The following is an 18,932-nucleotide window of genomic DNA, read 5'->3' as shown; positions in this document are numbered from 1 at the left end:
AAAAAGTACCTCGCAGGGGTCCAGAACAGTTCATGGGGCCAGGAGACCAGGGTTCCAGTCCTAGATCAGGAACTCACCCAGGACTAGGCTCAGGTGAGGCCCGCGAGGAGCCTTTTAGAAGGTGCTCACTGCCAGGTGCAGTGGCTCACGCCTGTCATCCCAACACTTTGGGAGCTCAAGGCAGGTTGACCCAGGAGTTTGAGACCAGGAGTTCAACACCAGCCTGGGCAACATGGCAAAACCCCTTCTCTACAAAAAAAAATTACAAAAATTAGACAGCGTAGTGGCGTGTGCCTATAGTCAGTTATATGGGAGGGCTGAGGTGCGAGGATCACCTGAGCCCAGGAGGTTGAGGCTACAGTAAGCCCAGATTGCACCACTGCACTCCAACCTGTGCGACACAGCTAGACCCTCTCTCAAAAACAAAGGTTCTTATTCTCCACAATGTGCAAGCACACAGCGGGCACCTCCTGAGACGCTGCACTTAGATGCCTCACTTGCCTCATCCTAGGCCCGGCCTTCTTACACAACCTGCCTGTGACCTCAGGCAAGTACCACTCCTTTCTCGGCCTCAGTTTGGTCACATAAAACAGAATCATGAAGCCAGGCATGGTGACACGAGCCTGTAGTCCCAGCTATTCAGGAGGCTGAGGTAGGAGGATTGCTGGAAGCCCGGGCATTCAAGGCCGCAGTGAGCTACAACTGCACTATGGCACTGCAGCCTGGGAGATACAGCAAGACCCCATCTCTAAAAAAAATAAAATTTTAAAAAACGAGTTAATTTAAAAAATTGAATCATGCCATATGATTCCATAGACCCTCCTAAATCTAAGCTGGGTTATTCTGTAGGGAGCATAACCGACCTCTGCAGCAAATCCCCGAAATGGGCACAGTGGCCCCAGCTTCCTGCCATCGATAACCTGTCAGTCACCACGTTGTCAGTGACCACGTTCCAGGCAGAATACACATTATACAACCACCTGATGCCATTATGTTCTGGGCTCTTTGTTAAATGCTTGGCCTCTACTTGATCATGGCCTCATTTTACAAATATGGAGCCTGAGGTCCACAGAGATTAAGCAACTTGCTTAAGGTCCCTGTTGGGAAGTGCTTAGCTGAGATTCGAACCAGCATCTGTCTGGTTCTTAATCCCCACATTCCATGGCATCAGCCACAGATAACAGAAAACCCACCAGGGCTGGGGAAATGCCATCAGCTCTTTGCACCTCCCACATTTTCTAGCATATAATGCCGGGGCTAATGTGAAGGCAGGCTGGTGGACAGCCGGGAGCAGGTAGGCAGGGATGGGGAAGTCCGTGTGGGCACTAAGCATTCCACAGATGAACCAGCCTCCAGCCCGGCCAGCTGCCCACCACTGTGGTTACAATGCCCTCATCGCCATCAGCACACCACAGCCACCGCTGTGCCATTTTTAAATCATTACACAGATGCAAAGCATTTTCACAGGCATTGCTGCGGTATCACATGCCAACTTTATTAAAGTATAGCAGGGATTTCTTCCCCCTTTCTCAGAAAAGGAAAGTGGGGTTTCCAGAGGATAAGTGGCTTCCCAACACGCACACAGGAACACAATGTTTGAGATGAACTTGGAGCCCACATCCTCTGCCTCCCAGTCCAAGCTTGGGTCTACTCCTCCATGCTCACGACTTTCCAGTTCAACCAACTGATGGGCCTTTGGGACAATGATGACCATTTCTGAGAGTTTACTTGGTACCAGGTGTTGTACTCTGCATTTCACACGTTATCCCATTTAACTGTCCTGACATTCCTATCAACTAAGTATTGCTACTGTTTTCATTTCACAAAGACAGCAGCTCAGAAAAGTAGGGTATCATGCCCAAGGTCACCAGGCCAGGAAGGGGCAGAGCTGGCATCCAAACAGAGTTCAGACTGGCTCCAGAGCCTGGGGCCTAAACCTCATGCTGCACAGCTCTGTCGGGGAGACTCTGTCACGGGCAGTCAGTGGAGGGGACAGGAGGTAGACACATCAAATAGTGTGTGCATCTGGCAGATTATGGCAAGATTACGATAATGGAGGACAAACAAAGCTCTTAGGGAGCCCACAAGAGGGAGGTTGTTACAAACGTCCAGGCAGAAGGCCAGGAGTCTGTGCAGAGGACACGGAAACAGAGGGGAGTGGCAGATATGAGGGAGGCGGCCTTGTGAGACCTTGGTCAAGTGCCTTGCTCTCTCCAGACCTCAATTTACCAAGCTGTTAAGAAAAGTCCTTGGAACATCTCCAGAACCCCCACCATCCCTGAAGACTCCTGGGCCCTGGGAAAATAAGCAATGCCCGGTGACAGCCTGGCTATGAGCCCTGGGGACTCTGAAATGTCCTTGGCTGTCCTGGCACAGCTCAACTGCTGGGAAACAGGCTTGCAGAAGCAGAGGGCTTGGCTGGCATGCCTGGGCACCAGTGAAGTGTGGGTTCTGAAGGGGCCACATTCCACCCATTGTCAACCTCTCCACGGCTCTGCTGGAGCAAGCACCACCCAGCCTGGATGCAGACCAGAAACCGAGGTCACTCCCAGTGTCCAGTGGACTGCCACTCCAGGATCCGCCTGACCCATCAGCCCTGTCCAGAGCCCTACCTACACGTAAATTAAGTCCCTTTGATGTCACACACCCCCAAAGCCCTTCCCTCACATTTCCCTAAGGCTAGCCACTGGGATATAGAGACAAGGGGTCCTATAGGAGGCCTTAAGGAAAATGACCACCCCACCCCAAGGGACCTGTGCAAAACAGAGGCTGCCCATGCCAAGCCAATGAAGACCCTTGGCTAGGGAAAGGAAGATGGTCCATTAGGGCCGGCCCGCAGCTCTCACTCTGGAAGGTGGAAGGGGCTCTTGGACTTGCTAAGAAAACTCAGCCCAAGTCTCCACACTCACAGCTGCCCCATCAAACCACATGCCTGGCATGCTCCTATTCAATAACCTCCCACGGTTCCTCCCACTCACTAGGCCAAGCCCCTTACCTGCCTGCCTGCATGGGTCACTGTGAGCAGAGGCCTTGGTTTACTAGGTGTGCTATATGCCAGGGCCTTGCTAAGTGCTTTATTTTTTTGTTTGTTTATTTTTTTGAGACAGAATTTCACTCTTGTTGCCCAGGCTGGAGTGCAATGGCACAATCTCGGCTCACCACAAGCAACCTCCACCTCCCAGGTACAAATGATTCTCCTGCCCCAGCCTCCTGAGTAGCTGGGATTATAGGTGTGTGCCACCGTGTCTGGCTAATTTTGTATTTTTAGTAGAGACGGGGTTTCTCCATATTGGTCAGGCTGGTCTCGAACTCCTGACCTCAGGTGATCCACCAGCCTCAGCCTCCCAAAGTGCTGGGATTACAGGCACGAGTCACTGCACCTGGCACTAAGTGCTTTATGGACATTTCCTCATTCAACCTCACAGTAACCCTGTGAGGCAGGTACTATCACTGGCCCATTTCTACAGATGAGAAAATTGAGGCTCAGAGAGGTTATGTTACTCGTCCACAGTCTCACAGCCAAGCAGCAGGCAAGGATTCATGCCCATGCCTGCCTGACCCCAAGCCCAGATTCTTAACCACTGTGCCATGTGGCCTCCTCAAATGCTCCCTGCCACCCTCAGAACCCTGGGGCCACCTCAACCCTTCTCCATACAGGAGGGGAAACCAAGGCAAAGAGCTCTGTTGGTAGCAGAGCCAGGATAAGGCCTGAACCTCCACCCCACCCTTCCGCCCCCAACCTTGCCTACCCCAGAAGGAACTCCCTGTCAGGAGGCATGCCAGGCAGAAAGGCTAGGACCATCACAGTGACAATGAGGCTTCAGAATCTGCCTTTTTCCTCGTCCAAAAGGAAGAGAAAAGCAGAGGGAGGTTTGCAGAGAGAGAAAAGGACATGAAGGGACCAGGAAACATTTGTTCTCACAGAACAGACTCCTAGCATTGGGGCCCCTCACACAACCCCTGTTGCTGTTCCTGACAGCAACAGGAACATGCAGGACCCAGCACCCATGTGCACCATGCCCCTCCCCCACCAGCATAGGCCCCACCCCAGCACAGCTGACCCCAAATCTTAATTGCTCTTCCCAAACCTGCTTGTCCCACAGCCTTCTCTGTCTTGGTAAATAGCAATACTGTCCAACTGTCCTTCCAGTTCCTCAAGCCAGAAACCTTGCGGTCAACACTCTATTCTCACACCCCACATCTAATCCATCAGCAAATCCCATCAGCTCATCCTGCAAAATAAATCCAGAACCAACCCCTGGTTGCTCCCCCGCCGTCCCCACCCACCACTGACTCGCCCAACCTCTCTCGTGGCAAGACTGCAGCAGCCTCCCAGCTAGTCATCCTGCGTCCACCCTCACCCCCAGCAGTCTCTCTAAAATGTGTACCCAAACCAGTCAGTCCTCACATCGGGCCCGCCAGCAGCTTCCCCTCCACTCAGACTCAAACAACAAAGTCCTCCCCATGGCCAAGAGGCCCTACCTGTCTCCACATGCCCTCTGGCCCCTCTCCTCCACCATCCTCTCATTCTTTCAGCCCTGCCTCTGGCCACCCATGCCCTCCAGTTCCAGCGCCTTTGCCCTGCAGCTCCCTCTGCCTGGAAAATTCTTCCCTCAATTTCCCGTGGGCCACCCTCCCGGAGTCTACTGCCCCTCACCAGGGACCATCCTGACCACCTGACATGGCTGGGTCACTCCCCCAAATCACACTCTTGACCCACAAGCCAGTTTTATTTTTCTTCCAGGCACATCTCACCACCTGACAGTGAGCTTGTTGGGCTGTTCATTTCATCCCACCACTCAAATGTCAGCCCCACGTCCAAAACAGGGTCTCCATGTGTTTTGTTCACTGCTGCATCCCAGTTCTAGAAAAGAGCCTGGACCAAAGTAGATGTTTAATACAAATATACTGAATGAGGGACTATTGTCTCCCTCATCTGAACACACAACTTTAGGCTTACACAGCCCCTACAGACCAGGGGCTAGAGGCTGATACAAGACTCAACCTGGGCCAGCTAAAACCCTGAGGGTTTTCGCCTGGCCAGTTCCCAGCCAAATTCCCAGTCCTGTTCTAGTCCAATTGACTGCTTGGACCAATGGATGACAAGACTTTACGTTTGTCCCTGTCCGGTGCCTTTTCCTCTCCTTTTGGCCATGAGGGAGAACTTCTGAGTCCTGACAGTTGGGCTGCCAGAGGGAATGTGGACTGGACCGCCGCCACCCACCTTCATGGCCTTTCCAGCATCCATCCAAGGCTGCCTACCCCATGCTCCCAGCAAGAGGAGGCAGAGGAGGGAGGCTGGTGCTACGCTTGCCCTTTTCCTGTGGTCAGCAGGAGGACTATCAGAAGGAAGCTTTGTTCTCAGAATGAAGAGCACGAAGCCCAGTGTCAGGCGGAAGCGGGCACAGAGGCAGCTGTCCCATCAGATAGTTTAAGGAAAGACAAAACAACAACAACAAAAAATGGGATGGAGAATGTTTGAGGGGTAATTTGCACACCCAACCGGTTTCATGCCTCCGGGGTGGCTGTGACGATGGTTCATTTTTCCAGGCTCTAACTAGGTCGTCATAGACAATCAGATGATTGTCCCAGCTAGATGATCTGCCACTGCCCCTGCAGAGGGAGGTGGAGATGGAAGAGTGTGGCCTTGCCTGGCATTGGAAGACCTGGGGTCCCAGCCCAGCTTTCCACCCACTCAAGTGACATTAGGAGAGTGTCTTCCCTCTATGTACCTCAGTTTACCCGGCTGTAAATGGCTTGTTCATGCCTGCACTTGATGTTTCAGCCTGCCTGCCACAGGACCACACAGCAGGAGAGCCCCTCAGCCTGTGGCCAGGTCACTGGGCCACCCAGGCCAGGCTTTCCCTGTGGGGCCTGATACCAGGGGCACAGCACTTGCCCACTTTGAGCCAGGCTTTCAGTCTGCCTCCTCTCCTGACCTGTTCCCTAATGTGAATGTGAAACTCCTCTGGGCCTGGCTAGGGTGGGGCCAGGACTGGCAGCCCTCACCCCACCCAGACACTGGCACCTGCCCCAATCCACTCTGTGTTATCCTCTCCAAGGATAGCTCACATTGCACTCAGCCACGACAACTGGGGAAGCCCAGAACATTGGCACAGGGGGCAAAAGAGTAGCCCAGAGAGAGAAAGGGGCATGGTTAATGTCGCCCAGCACAACAGCCACCCAAGGCTCCTCCCTACCAGCCCTGGGCTCCATGCACTAAGACAGTCCTTAAAGAGTGGTCTATAGACCCCCTGGTCTGAATGTTCTCAGGATGGGGAGGCTACACCCTAGAATGAAAGAATCAGAGCAGGAGGCAGCGGGTGGGGGCAGCAATCTGCATGCATTTTTGCAAGCTTCCCAGGTTTTTCCTGTAGCCAGAACAATTGCAACCTCTCAGCTAAGACCTCTTCCAGGAGAAGACATCTTAGCAGGCCCCAGGGAATACTTAAGATTTCAATTGAATGAGTTAAATAAACCTTGACGGGACAGACAGTTGGACAAGGGAGCTGTCGGATAAAGCAACATACTCTAGGAGGAGAAAGCACAGAGAGGCCCAATGGAGAAGAAGCCCAGGCCAGTAAACATCTGAACTGGTCCACACCCCTCTTCACCCTGCTGGCCTCAGCACACAGAGGTCTGGACCTGATATCCTCTGAAGGCTGCTGAGCACAGTCCTCCCCTCCCTAAACTCCTCCAAGCCCACCATGAGAGTAAGACCTGGTGACAGCTGCAGGTGGATGCTCCTCTCCTTGGTTACACTGCAGGGTGGGGCCCGCCCTTTCAGGGACTGTTATCTGCAGCTTAAGAAGCCGCCTGGGTCAGTGGCTACGCAGGCAGAGCTTATCTTGGGGGAGGATTCGAGGGTCACAGAGCAGGCTGACCCAGAGGCCTCTAGCAAATGGAACCTTCACAGCTGGAGGGATAGACCATGGCCACACCTGCTTTCACACAGGAAGCACTTGTTATGCTCCTACTGGGGAAACCGTCCTGAGCCTAAGCATGATGCTCCAATGCTTCCATGCTTCGAGGGACACAAAGGTGATTCAGCCCACAGCCCTTACACCCGCTGCCTTAGAAGAGCCCACAAAGGAACAAGGTAGGAGAGAAAGTGGTTCATAGCTTAAGGACAGGGTTGCAAACTCAGATGCCTCCAGTGACCAGAAAGATCATGTAAGCATATGAAATGGCTGGCTGGGGATGGGGTGAAGTGTACATGCCTCACCTCCAGCAATGACCCCTGGAGAATGTAGGCTCAAGGTTTTCCTGTCTTCCAATTTTTGAAATAAAGCCAGAAGTCTGAGTTTTTATGTAAAACCTCTGGTTGGCAACCAGCTCAATATTTGGCATGGACCAAACAAAATCTGCCCATAGGGCAAATGTGGCCTGCCAGTTTGTGACCTCTGTTTTCTTAAAAGGGACAGAGAACACACTGTGGAGCTCAGTAGAGGCCAACTTCCCTGCAGCTGAGGTACCTTGGAAGGCTTCCTGGAAGAGAAGGCATTGGTGCTGGGCTGCAAGGATGGAGAAGGCTCTTCTGGGGAAGGAATCCTGGATAGGGAGTGGGGTGTACCTCTAGAACTTCAGAGGCCATAGGCAGGAACATCCTGTCCCTACAACCTGGCAGGCTGGACCAAGAGCCCAAGTCATCTAGACTCCTGTGTTTCCTCCCCAAAAAGGAGGCATGAAGCAGGCATAGAGGTATCAGTTTAGTGCTGTCCCCAGGTAGCGGGAGGAGGGGCCGCCAGCCCAGCAAACCTCTGGACTAAACTAAATCAATTGGTGGCAGAATAGCAAGGGTCCAATTTCATCCCTGGAGCTTGAGGAACAGGTCAGCTAACGACAGCTCCGTGGGGGGAAGGGAGAGAAAGAGACAATGGAGGGACAAAAGGAGGTTGAGAATCGTGCCCTGCCTGGCCAGACCCGGCTGGTTACATAACCCTGCCTCAGGACAAAGCCAGGGAGGGCCTGGGCTAGGGAGTCCCAGAATGCAGAAAGGGTTTCCCCTACCTCCCCTGCCCACCCCTGCTCTCTAAGCTGGTCCTGCAGCTCCTAGAAAGCCCAGCACAGAGTGCGGAGCCAGGGGTGGAGACTAAGACCCCAGGATCAGACACTTACAAGATCACTCAGCAAATTCATAGCAGAGCTAGAACTACCAACAGCAAACTTTTACCAAATGATTACTTTGTACCAAGCACGAGGTAAGTCCTTTACAAACATTAACTTACCTAAAAGTCTAACTATAACACCATGAGATAAATACTGTTATTGCCATTTTACTGAGGAAGCACAGACAAAGTAACTTACCCAATGTCACACAGCTCCTAAGTGGAGGTGCCAGCTCAGAAGCCAACAGCCCGTCTCCAAGACCACACCCTGACCCAGGATGCTACACTGCCACCAGGCTACTTTCTATTTGCACCACGCTGCCACCATTTCTCAAGCCCGCAGTGCACACGGCCCCGTCAGCACTCCACAGGGACACCCAGCCTTCTGATGATCTGATGAAACCAACAAACTCTTTCTTCAGAAAAAGAAAACACAGAAATGCCTACAACTCACTGCACCTTTGGGGGCTCATGGACCCCTGCACTGGTGGGAATGGACAGGTCACGATCACAGGATACTCAAGAGACAGGAGGTAGCAGAGGGAGCCGACTCCCTCAGGTCCCCTGGGCCTCCTCATATCAGCTTTCATCCACAGGCGTGGGCATGGATCGGTGCTCAGGGCCTCGTCATCCCTTCGGGGCCGGGAGAACAGAATGAATCACGGCACACAATGGCCTGCGCCTCTGTATCCACTGGGTGTGACTCACAGCTCCCAGCTGCTGGGCAGACGGTGCACAGCTGGGCCTGGCATCTGGATGAGGGTGGCATTACCAGGTGTACCATCTCAGCCTTCTCCCCACCAGTGGGCTCATCTTGCCCAAGACCAGACCTGGCCTTATCCTATCCCCAGCAGCAATGAGCATTTTGAAGGGAACCCCTCATCAGTGACCGCCCAGCCCCCATGCCAGCCAGGTCCCAGGAGGTGGTAAGTCAAGATGGACAGCCTCTTGCAACACATAGGAAGATCCAAGACCTCGGCTGCCTCACTGTGTGACCTCAAGCAGGCCCCCCACCTCTCAGCCTCCATTTCACCAACTATAAAGTGAGGAGACTACTTGATCGAGTCCTTCCCAGCTCCAAAGCCCTGAATCTATAAAAACAGCACCTAATGGCCAGGCGTGGTAGCTCATGCCTGCAATCCCAGCACTTTGGGAGGCCAAAGCAGGCAGATCACCTGAGGTCAGGAGTTCGAGACCAGCCTGGTCAATATGGTGAAACCCCGTCTCTACTAAAAATACAAAAAAAATTTAGCTGGGTATGGTGGCACACACCAGTAATCCCAGCTATTCGGGAGGCCGAGGCAGGAGAATCGCTTGAACCCGGGAGATGGAGGCTGCAGTGAGCCAAGATCGCGCCACTGCACTCCAGCCTGGGCAACAGAGCAGACTCTGTCTCAAAAAAATATAAAAATTTAAAAAAACAAAAAAACAGCATCTGACAAGCTTCACAGAGTGCTGGGATCCTGCCTTCAGAAAGTTACACAAACATCCTTCAGAGAAACAAAAGTCAAACTTAAAGCCTGTATTTTTTTTTTCTAAGGATATCAAGAAGCCCTTTTTAACTTCCCTCATCCCACCTCCATTGTTCCAAATATCCTCTCAGGGCCCAGAAAATACATTTGGTTTCCGTCTGGGGTTTGGGCTTCTTGGTGCTCTTCCTCTTGGAAGTTGCCCCACCCCTTCTTGGCAGTGTCTTCACAAGGCACCTTCATCTCTACCCCCAGCACTGCTCTGGGCCACCCTGAGGGCGACAGCTACTCCGCCTGCCAAAGAAGGGGTGGGGTAGGGACAGGTTTTGGGAAACAAACCCCTTCCTGGTTGGAACTGAAACAATTCTGGATTCTGGCCTCAACAGTAATTCTGACCCCCTGTGTGGCCGTGGGTGAGTCCCTGCTCCACTAGGCCTCAATCCCCTAAATGTGAAGTGAAGGGGTTCCTGTGTCAGACAAAGACTGCCCACCCTTGGGCTCCTGGGCAGCAGCTTGGGGACACCGAGGCACGAAAAGACAGCAGAGTGGACAGTGGGCTCTGATCTTGAATCTCACATCCCCTCTTGTTAGAACCAAAGGAGATCTACTCTTTTTGCTGTTTGAGACAGGGTCTCACTATGTTGTCCAGGCTGGTCTTGAACTCCTGGGCTTAAGCAACCCTCCTACCTCAGCCTCCCGAGTAGCTGGGATTTCTGGCACATGCCACCATGCCCAGTTAGAGATCCACTTTCATCTCTCTGATTTGTTCTTTTGCCCTAGCAGTGGAACCTTGAACTCACTACTGAATCTCTGAGCCTCAGACAGCCCATCCACAAAACAGGAGAACAACAATGTCTGCAGTGGAAGCCCCAGCTTGGAGGCTGGAGCCCTAACCACCCCAACACAATCCCATCCACCTTCCTCCAAAGCATAATTCACTCATTTGACAAAATATATATTTGGGGACATCTTTAGAAAATCACCGTAAGTTGTGCCTATGATACAAACACTCCATGACAATCCCCTACTGCTCTCCTTCCAATGAGATCATGCCTTTAAGCACTCTATATATCTCCACAGAATTCTTAGATCTATCCTTTTATAGCTGTGTGGCCTCAGTATTTTCATCTATTAAGTGGGGACAGTAATAGTGATGATACTGCCTACCTATAGGATTGTCCTGGGGATTGCTTCTGATGAGGTGACATGGAAGTGCCCAGCAAGCATTTATAAGCTGTCAATAAATGTGAGCAGCAATTATGATCATCATCATTAAAATTATTAAGGCCGGGCACGGTGGCTCATGCCTGTAATCCCAGCACTTTGGGAGGCCGAGGCGGGCAGATCACTCGAGGTCAGGAGTTCGAGAACAGCCTGACCAAAGTGATGAAACCCCGTCTCTACTAAAAATACAAAAATTAGCCGGGCGTGGTAGCAGGCGCCTGTAATCCCAGCTACTCAAGAGGCTGAGACAGAAGAATTGCTTGAACCCGGGAGGCAGAGGTTGCAATGAGCCCAGATCGCGCCATTGCACTCTAGCCTGGGCAACAAAAGTGAAACTCCATCACAAAAAAAAATAAAAAATAAAAAAATAAAATTATTAGGCCGGGTGCAGTGGCTCACGCCTGTAATCCCAACACTTTGGGAGGCCGAGGCAGGTGGATCATGAGGTCAGGAGTTCAAGACCAGCCTGGCCAATATGGCAAAATGCTGTCTCTAGTAAAAATACAAAAATTAGCTGGGCGTGGTGGCGTGTGCCTGTAGTCCCGGCTACTCGGGAGGCTGAGACAGAAGAATCACTTGAACCCAGTAGGCAGAGGTTGCAGTGAGCTGAGATCGTGCCACTGCACTCTAGACTGAGTGACAGAGCAAGACTCCGTCTCAAAAAAAAAAAAAAAATTATTGAGGCCGGGCGCGGTAGCTCAGGCCTGTAATCCCAGCACTTTGGGAGGCCAAGGTAGGTGGATCACTTGAGGTCGGGAGTTCGAGACCAGCCTGGCCAACATGGTGAAACCCCGTCTCTACTAAAAATACAAAAATTAGCCAGGTGTGGTGGCACACATCTGTAATCTCAGCTACTTGGGAGGCTGAGGCAGGAGAATCGCTTGAACCTGAGAGGCAGAGGTTGTAGTGAGCCAAGATCACTGCATTCCAGCCTGGGCAACAGAGTGAGACTCTGAAAAAAAAAGGAAAGAAGAAAGAAAGAAAAGAAAGAAAAGAAAGAAAAGAAAAGAAAAGAAAAGAAAGAAAGAAAGAAAGAAAGAGAAAGGAAAAGAAAAGAAAAGAAAAGAAAAGAGAGAAAGAAAGAAAGAAAAAGAAATTATTGAGATGCTGACTGGGTGCGGTGGCTCATGCCTGTAATCCCAACACTTTGGGAGGCCAAGGTGGGAGGGTCGCTTGAGTTCAGTTGGATTCCAGCCTGCACAACATGGTAAAACCCCATCTCTACAAAAAATACACACAAATAAATAGCTGAGCGTGGTGGTGCACACCTATAGTCCCAGCTACTCAGGAGGCTGAAGTGGGAGGATCCTTTGAACCTGGGAGGCAGAGGTTGCCGTGAGCCAAGATCGCACCACTGCATTCCAGTCTCAGTGACAGAGTGAGACCCCGTCTCAAAAAAAAAAGGAAAAAAATTATTGAGATGCTTAAAACCACTGGATTGATAGCAGTTAAGGCCACTCAGCCCCCTCAGACTACATATGGCCATTGTAATCGCATATGTGTGCACCCACACCACACACACGTGTGCATATACACACCTAAGCACACTATACTTTTTTTTTTTTTGAGATGGAGTCTTGCTCTGTTGCCCAGGCTGGAGTGCAGTGGCAGAATCACGGCTCACTGCAACCTCCACCTCCCAGTTTCAAGCGATTCTCCTGTCTCAGCTTCCCAAGTAGCTGGGATTACAGGCACCCATCACCATGCCCAGCTAATTTTTGTATTTCAGTAGAGATGGGGTTTCACCATGTTGGCCAGGCTGGTCTCAAACTCCTGACCTCAGGTGATCCACCCGTTTTGGCCTCCCAAAGTGCTGAGATTACAGGCATGAGCCACCACGCCCGGCCCTAAGCACACTATTCTTTAAGGCAGAGCCCATGCTCTCTGCCCAACCCCTGCCCTGGCCCCAGCCCCAGAAGAGAGCTGCCATGTCTCTGGCACCCAGGCTTGCAACCCACAAAATCTCCCCTGCTCTTCCAGCTCCCCAATCCTGCCTTCCTCATGTTGCCCCAGCACTGGCTCCTATAATCATGTTGGGGTTCTGTTGTATCCCATCATTGTGTCACGAGATTGTTTCCTGGGGGATAGGGAGCTGTTACAAGATGGGGGCTCCTTGAAAACAGGGTGGTGAGAACCTGGGCTTTACTCTGGGTCCCCCACATCTGCTGGGTGACTGAATAGGCTGAAAACAAGAGAGCCCAAGGAAACAGGCATCAGTTTTTTTTTTTAATGATCTATCCTAGTATTTCTTAAAATTCAGCACGCGGCCAGGTGCGGTGGCTCATGCCTGCAATCCCAGCACTTTGGGAGGTCGAGGTGGGCAGATCACCTGAGGTCAGGAGTTCGAGACCAGCCTGGCCAACATGGTGGAACCCTGTCTCTATTAAAAATACAAAAATTAGCTGGGCATGGTGGCAGGCATCTGTAATCCCAGCTACTTGGGAGGCTGAGATGGGAGAATCACTTGAACCTGGGAGGCAGAGGTTGCAGTGAGCCGAGATCACACCATTGCACTCCAGCCTGGGCAGCAAGAACAAAACTTTGCCTCAAAAAAAAAAAAAAAAAAAAAAAAAAAAATTCAGCATGCATTAGAATCAGCGGGAAGGTTCTTAAAACAGATTGCTGAATCCCACCCTCCAGGATATCTAATTCAGCAGGTCCAGTATAGAGCTAGATAATCTGCACTTCTAACAAGTTCCCAGGTAACGCTGACGCTACTGATCCAGAACCCAACTTTCAGAACCACTGACTTAGCCTGCAGGTGGATCAGGAAGAGCTTCCATGAATAGATGGTGCTTACACTCACAGAAGCATTAGCAGGAGTTGCCCGGGCATAAGGAGAGGGGGAGGGAATGAATGCAGGCAGAGGATGCAGCATGAGTAAAGGCCCTGCTATGACAACACTCATTTCTCCTCATCTGGCCTCTGCCTGGGCAGGTCATACTTGCAAGGCTGGTGGTGTAAACCAGAGGTGGCTGCCGTGCAGCGATGACTATAGCAAACCTCCACCTAATGCCACCCTGGGACCTGCCCAGACAGGCCGATCCCTTGGACAGCCTAGGATGATAAAAATCCAAGCCCTCCCTCGTGGAGCCAGACCTCAGGTCTGAACGAGGCCATCCCCACCACTTCTTCATCACATGAGCTCCAGGATTCTGCTTCCACCTCCAGAAACAGGGAGCTCGCTCCCTGCAGACACAATCCCTTCCATCTTGGCTTGCTCTAATTTTTTTTTTAAGTCTCCTCATTACACTGAGTTGAAGTCAGCCTCTCCTGGCCCATCTACCCATTGGATTTGCCCTCCAGCACCTCACACAAGTCTACCTCCTCTGGCCAGAGCAACCCCTCAGAAAGCAGCGGGCCCTGACTGTAATCCCCTGGGACTAAACTTCTCCAGGCTGGCCACCTACCTCTCTAAGCCTTGCTTGCTACATCTGCTAAAAGGGAATAATAATAGTGCCTATCTCTCATTGCTGTTGTGAGGATTAAATGAACTCCTTAGTTAATAATATCAACTACAATAATAACGATAATTCACATAGATTGGGCTCACAGTGTGTTATCTTTCTAAATCCTGTCAGATGGGGATAATTATCATCCCCTTTGTACAGAGGAAGAGCTAAACAGCTTGCCCAAGGTCTCACACATAGGAAGCAGCCCAGCAGGGACCTGAACACAGGCCACCTGGCTCCAGAGCCTGGCTCTCAACCTTTGCTCTGTCTGGATCTTCTAGTCACCTGCCCCAAGACCAAGCCCATGTCACCTGTCTCTGCCGCCATCCTCTCCCCCTTCCCAGGCAAAGTGAGACTGGGTGGGAGGCCTCCAAAAGCTCCAGCCCATGCAGTCTGGGGTACGGGTCCCTGGTTACGAGGACAGCCACAGGGCCGCCAGCCCAGCGGGACCTTCTCAGCCAGCCCAATTTATCTGGTGTAATCTTTAGACATCCTTCAACATGGTCACCAGGGAGGAGATTGAGCCCATGGAACTTGAGCACCTTAGGCTTGATGACAGGAAGGAAGAAGAAAAACAGAGGCATAACAAAGAAAAGAAATCCTGTCCAGCTTCCTAGATGAAACCAGATGTTCCCACATACCATGCAAATTGCTCTATCTCTCCAGGCCTCAGTTTCCTCATCTGCACATGCCATCTCAGGCCATTAGGCAGAAAGTTCAGAAACTCAAATTCCAGGGATTCTTTCTCTCATCTCTAAAAGGACAGATCCCCTCTAGCTACAAACAATAATTATAACAACTGTTATCTTTGAACAGCTTCTACTTACTGCACACTTACTATGTCAAAGCACTGATTTCCTTAACCTCCCTAACAAAACAGAACTATTATTATCCCCATTGTGAAGTTGAGGAAACTGATGTCCAGGGAAATTTAGGTAATTTACCCTAGATCATGCAGCTAGTAGTAGCAGAATGGTGATTTGAACCCAGGACTTTTGATTCCACTCTACAACACTGCCCACCCCCATTGGAAAGCGGTCATGTGCAGCCCCTGCCTCCAGAGTACAGAGCCTAGAGGAGATAAGACTTGTCTTTAGGAAGCTAGAGTTCAAAGCTAAGAGCTGAAGGGCCCATGAGAGGTCCAGGTAACAGGTTCTACACATGTAAAGGAGGGAGCAGGCAATGCCAGCTCTGGAGAATTAGGGATGGCTACATGGAAGAGGTGACCCTGGAGCTGTGTACTGGTAGGGAGGATTTTAGGGTGAGCAAGGGGAAGTGACTGGAGTGCAGCATTTTCACCATGAGCAGATTTGTAGAGGTAGGAGGGGCCAGGAGCACAGCCAGAGAGAGGGAAAGAGGCCAGTTCTGCTTGAGAGTTGAGGGGGAGTGGGAGAGGGGGCCCTGCAGTCACACAGCAGGCACTTCCCATACATTGCCCTCAAATAAACAAATGCTCATTCGTCATGCACATTTTAAAATTAGATTAATCCAATCTGTATTCAAGAAACAAGGTGAGTAGAAATAAAAGGGCCAGGAGGCAACTTAGCACAAACTCTCCTCCATCTAGATAAGGATTTTGATGGCAAATTGGCTTTAGCCCTGAGGCCGCAGGGTCCAGGACCGCTGCCCCCAAACATCCACCTCTTCCACTGAGCTCCACACCTCCAAGACAGAAGCTGTGAGGCAGAGCTTTGTAAGAGCCCCACAGACAGAGAAAGCAACTTTGCTGGTGACCCCCAGAAACCAAGAGAGCCTCCTTTAACCTCCACTGCAGGGAAGGAGGGGAACAACCCCCGCCTGCGTCTTCACTTTCAAATCCACAAACTCACCAGCCCTTTTGCCCTAAGCCCTACTGATTCAGCCTGATTCATGATTTAGCCTTATTTCTTCACAGGTGAGGAAAAAGAGACTGACCCCATTTCACAGATGAGAAATGGAAGCAGAGGGTTCAAATCCTCTGTGAAAGTACAGTCCTTAGCCCAGCTCTGGCCACTGCTCCAGACATCCCCAAGGGGCCCCTTGACAGTCAGCTGGGCTGAGTGTATTCCAAACGGCAAGGACTCTCCCAGTGGAGCTCTGCAGGCCAGGCCATATGGAACTCCCCAGGACGTGCAGGAAGGGCAGCTCCAAAGCTATGAGAAAACAGAGGGTGGAGGTGGGCCAGGCACCATCCAAATGCTGAGATTCTTGGGTGAAAAGGGAACTGAGAGTGGCCACCCAGGCCTGCCCCTGCTGATGCATCCTCCTGCCGCCTCTGCAGCTCTCCAGGCTCTTTGCATACCTTCAGCCATGCTGTTCTCGCCTTCTTTCTGGGCAGCTTACTTCCGGACTAGCTTCCTTGGAGCTGTCACCCTTGTTGCTTTCTCCATCCTCAGGAACCCTGAAGGACAAGACTATGCCCCCTACCTGTAGAGGGCCTTTCAGGGATTTGAAAGCAGTAATATTGCCCCTTAAGGGTTATTCCCCAAACCTTAAAACCACCTGTGACGACCCCAAATGCCAAGACAGCTACAAAGTCCTGCAGCTTCCCCCTCCTTCCCTGTCAGTCCGCTGCCTGAGTCAGCCTGTGGTCAGCTTTCTGCAGGACCATGATGAGCGCAATCTCTGGCCTGGTCTTAACTCTGCCAGTCTTGCTCCCATCTTTGGTCAAAAGACCCCTGAGAAGCAACACAGTAAGGCAGAAATAGTTCAGGCCTGGGTTCAAATTCCAGCTCTATAAGTGACTCCACCCCTCTGAGCCTCTATTTCCTCATCTGAAAATGGGGCAGGGATAGGGGACCAGCAGCAGCAGCTACTTTGCAGAGTATTGTGATATTTCAATGGGGTGTCTGTAAAGAGCCTGGCATGGTGCCTGACACAAGGCACAGGAACAGGCATCGAGTCAATGAGCTACTTACAACCCTCTGTCCTCTCTATAGGCTACAGAATAAAATCCAAACTCCTGAGCAGGGCACTGCAGGCTCCCCATGACCTAATCTTGTCTCCTATTGTCCCATTTCCCGCAGTCTGCACCCTCGAAAACACTTCCTCCTCCAGGAGGCCTTGCTGACATTAATAAGCAGAAAGCGTTTCCTTCCACTGACCTTCCAAAACCCATCTATAACTGATCAGATCCTGCCCCATAGCCATCATTTGAATCCTTGTCTTCTGTCCTCCATCAGAACAGCCTCTCCTGAATCCAGCAGGACTGCACCCCATTTCATGTCCCCTGTCACCCTCAGCCACAGACATTTTCCATACACATTTCACAAATTACCCTAATGTTCCATTTCAAGTAAAGAATGTCCAAGTCCTCCAAACAGTCCAGATATTTCAAGCCATACTCAAATCCAAATTCCAGGCCAGTAGAAGTCGGCCCAGCCTCCAGAGACTTGCAGGCCTGGCTTTGGTCCCAAAGCATGGAAGGGCGGCCAAAGCACAGCCAAGCAGGTCCAAAGCCTAGGGCAGAGAGAGCTCTGGGCTGCCTAGACCAGAGCCCATTTGTGAGTTTGTCAGACGCCAACCCCCAGCCTATGATCTTAAATTCTTGACCACATCCTCAACTTGTGATTACAAAACTGTTCGTCGCATACCTCCTTGCGACAGGAGGCTCACTATCCATGTTCTCTTGCTTGCTGGGGCCCTCCCTTTACTTGTTGATTCCCCCAGAGGCCTTTCCTCTTGCTCTGACCACAATGACAAGGACAGTCTGACCATATGACGAGTCAGCCTTCCAACTCCTCCATTCAATGCCCTGCTTTTCTGAGTCCCCTCAATGTCCAGCAAAGCAACGGAATTTCCACATTTATTCCTACAAGCTGAACTATCAGCCCAGGAGGGCCCCCTATTTCCAGGGCCCTCAAAAAGCCTACAAACCCTGCAAAACCCAGACACAGTGCTGGAACACCCCTCGGAGCAGGCTGAAATGCACAAACTTTCCTTCCCCAAGAACTTCTCTCATTATCTACCCCCACCCACCACACTCTCTCTCAGCCCTAGATTTAAGATGTTGTTAATTAAATTGCAATTTGTTTTCCATTTTTAAAGTAATTACTCAAGGACCTCAATCAGAGCCCGATCAGTACTCATAAGATGTCACCCCCACCAAATGATTGGGCCAACCCAGGGTGTGAAAGCCAGCAGAAATCTAAGCCACTTCACGTATTCACTTGTGGGATATTTACTGAGGGCCTACAGGGTGCCCAATACTGAGCTAGCTAGGCTCAGGGACCTGTACACACATGCATTCTCCATTAGGGTTCTGCAATCCTGACACTATTACTATCCTCAAGGACTCTGCGCATCCAGACCCGTCTATTAGTTAGCAATGAGAACCCCTGCCATGGCCAAGTTACACAAGAACACCCTTGCCCTACCTCTGCCCCCTGCTGATCTGAAAGTAACCTGGTCTGAAAGAGAAGTAAAGATGTGGCTGTCCCTGGGTGCTAGGGAGAGAGGCCTGTTGACAAAGCCACCAGCTGTCTCCAGTCAGAGCCAGGGAGACAGGCTTCTCCCTGCACCATCCGCACTGCCATAGACACAGCAGCCAGCAACAGCACTTGGACCATTACGGAGTTCCAGGCCCAGTCTCCAACTGACCTCCCTCCTGCTCCAGCTGCCCATGCTAACAAGAGCCAGGGCACAAGACCTCACTTGGAACAAGTACCAGGCAGAAGAGAGCATTACCTGCCGGTGGGGAA

General features: G+C 51.3%; 1 protein-coding gene across 1 annotated transcript in view, besides 5 other annotated features; it reads right to left on the bottom strand.

Moving 5' to 3' along the window:
* Positions 1-8,768, bottom strand: part of NDST1 (N-deacetylase and N-sulfotransferase 1) — a 60,433-nt gene extending 51,665 nt beyond the window's left edge. Inside the window, exon 1 of the mRNA NM_001301063.2 lies at positions 8,568-8,768. The gene's annotated coding sequence lies outside the window, so the exon portion shown is untranslated. The remainder of the gene's footprint in view (positions 1-8,567) is intronic.
* Positions 3,956-4,514: an enhancer, noted in NCBI's record as "H3K4me1 hESC enhancer chr5:149881595-149882153 (GRCh37/hg19 assembly coordinates)". NCBI's record gives its function as "activates a minimal SCP1, AML or CMV promoter by ChIP-STARR-seq in naive H9 embryonic stem cells {active_cell/tissue: H9 hESC(naive)}" and the evidence as "EXISTENCE:reporter gene assay evidence [ECO:0000049][PMID:30033119]".
* Positions 4,515-5,075: an enhancer, noted in NCBI's record as "H3K4me1 hESC enhancer chr5:149881034-149881594 (GRCh37/hg19 assembly coordinates)". NCBI's record gives its function as "activates a minimal SCP1, AML or CMV promoter by ChIP-STARR-seq in naive H9 embryonic stem cells {active_cell/tissue: H9 hESC(naive)}" and the evidence as "EXISTENCE:reporter gene assay evidence [ECO:0000049][PMID:30033119]".
* Positions 7,726-8,020: a silencer, noted in NCBI's record as "tiled region #285; K562 Repressive non-DNase unmatched - State 14:Gen5'". NCBI's record gives its function as "represses a minimal TATA promoter and a strong SV40 promoter by Sharpr-MPRA in K562 cells {active_cell/tissue: K562}" and the evidence as "EXISTENCE:reporter gene assay evidence [ECO:0000049][PMID:27701403]".
* Positions 13,338-13,959: an enhancer, noted in NCBI's record as "H3K27ac-H3K4me1 hESC enhancer chr5:149872150-149872771 (GRCh37/hg19 assembly coordinates)". NCBI's record gives its function as "activates a minimal SCP1, AML or CMV promoter by ChIP-STARR-seq in primed H9 embryonic stem cells {active_cell/tissue: H9 hESC(primed)}" and the evidence as "EXISTENCE:reporter gene assay evidence [ECO:0000049][PMID:30033119]".
* Positions 16,537-16,716: an enhancer, noted in NCBI's record as "active region_23420". NCBI's record gives its function as "activates an Ori minimal core promoter by ATAC-STARR-seq in GM12878 lymphoblastoid cells {active_cell/tissue: GM12878}" and the evidence as "EXISTENCE:reporter gene assay evidence [ECO:0000049][PMID:35858748]".

The sequence above is a fragment of the Homo sapiens genome, chromosome 5 (genome assembly GCF_000001405.40).
Source record: "Homo sapiens chromosome 5, GRCh38.p14 Primary Assembly".
Lineage (NCBI taxonomy): Eukaryota > Metazoa > Chordata > Mammalia > Primates > Hominidae > Homo > Homo sapiens.
The sequence above is the reverse complement of the archived record's forward strand: the minus strand, read 5'-3'. Positions and strand labels throughout refer to the sequence as shown.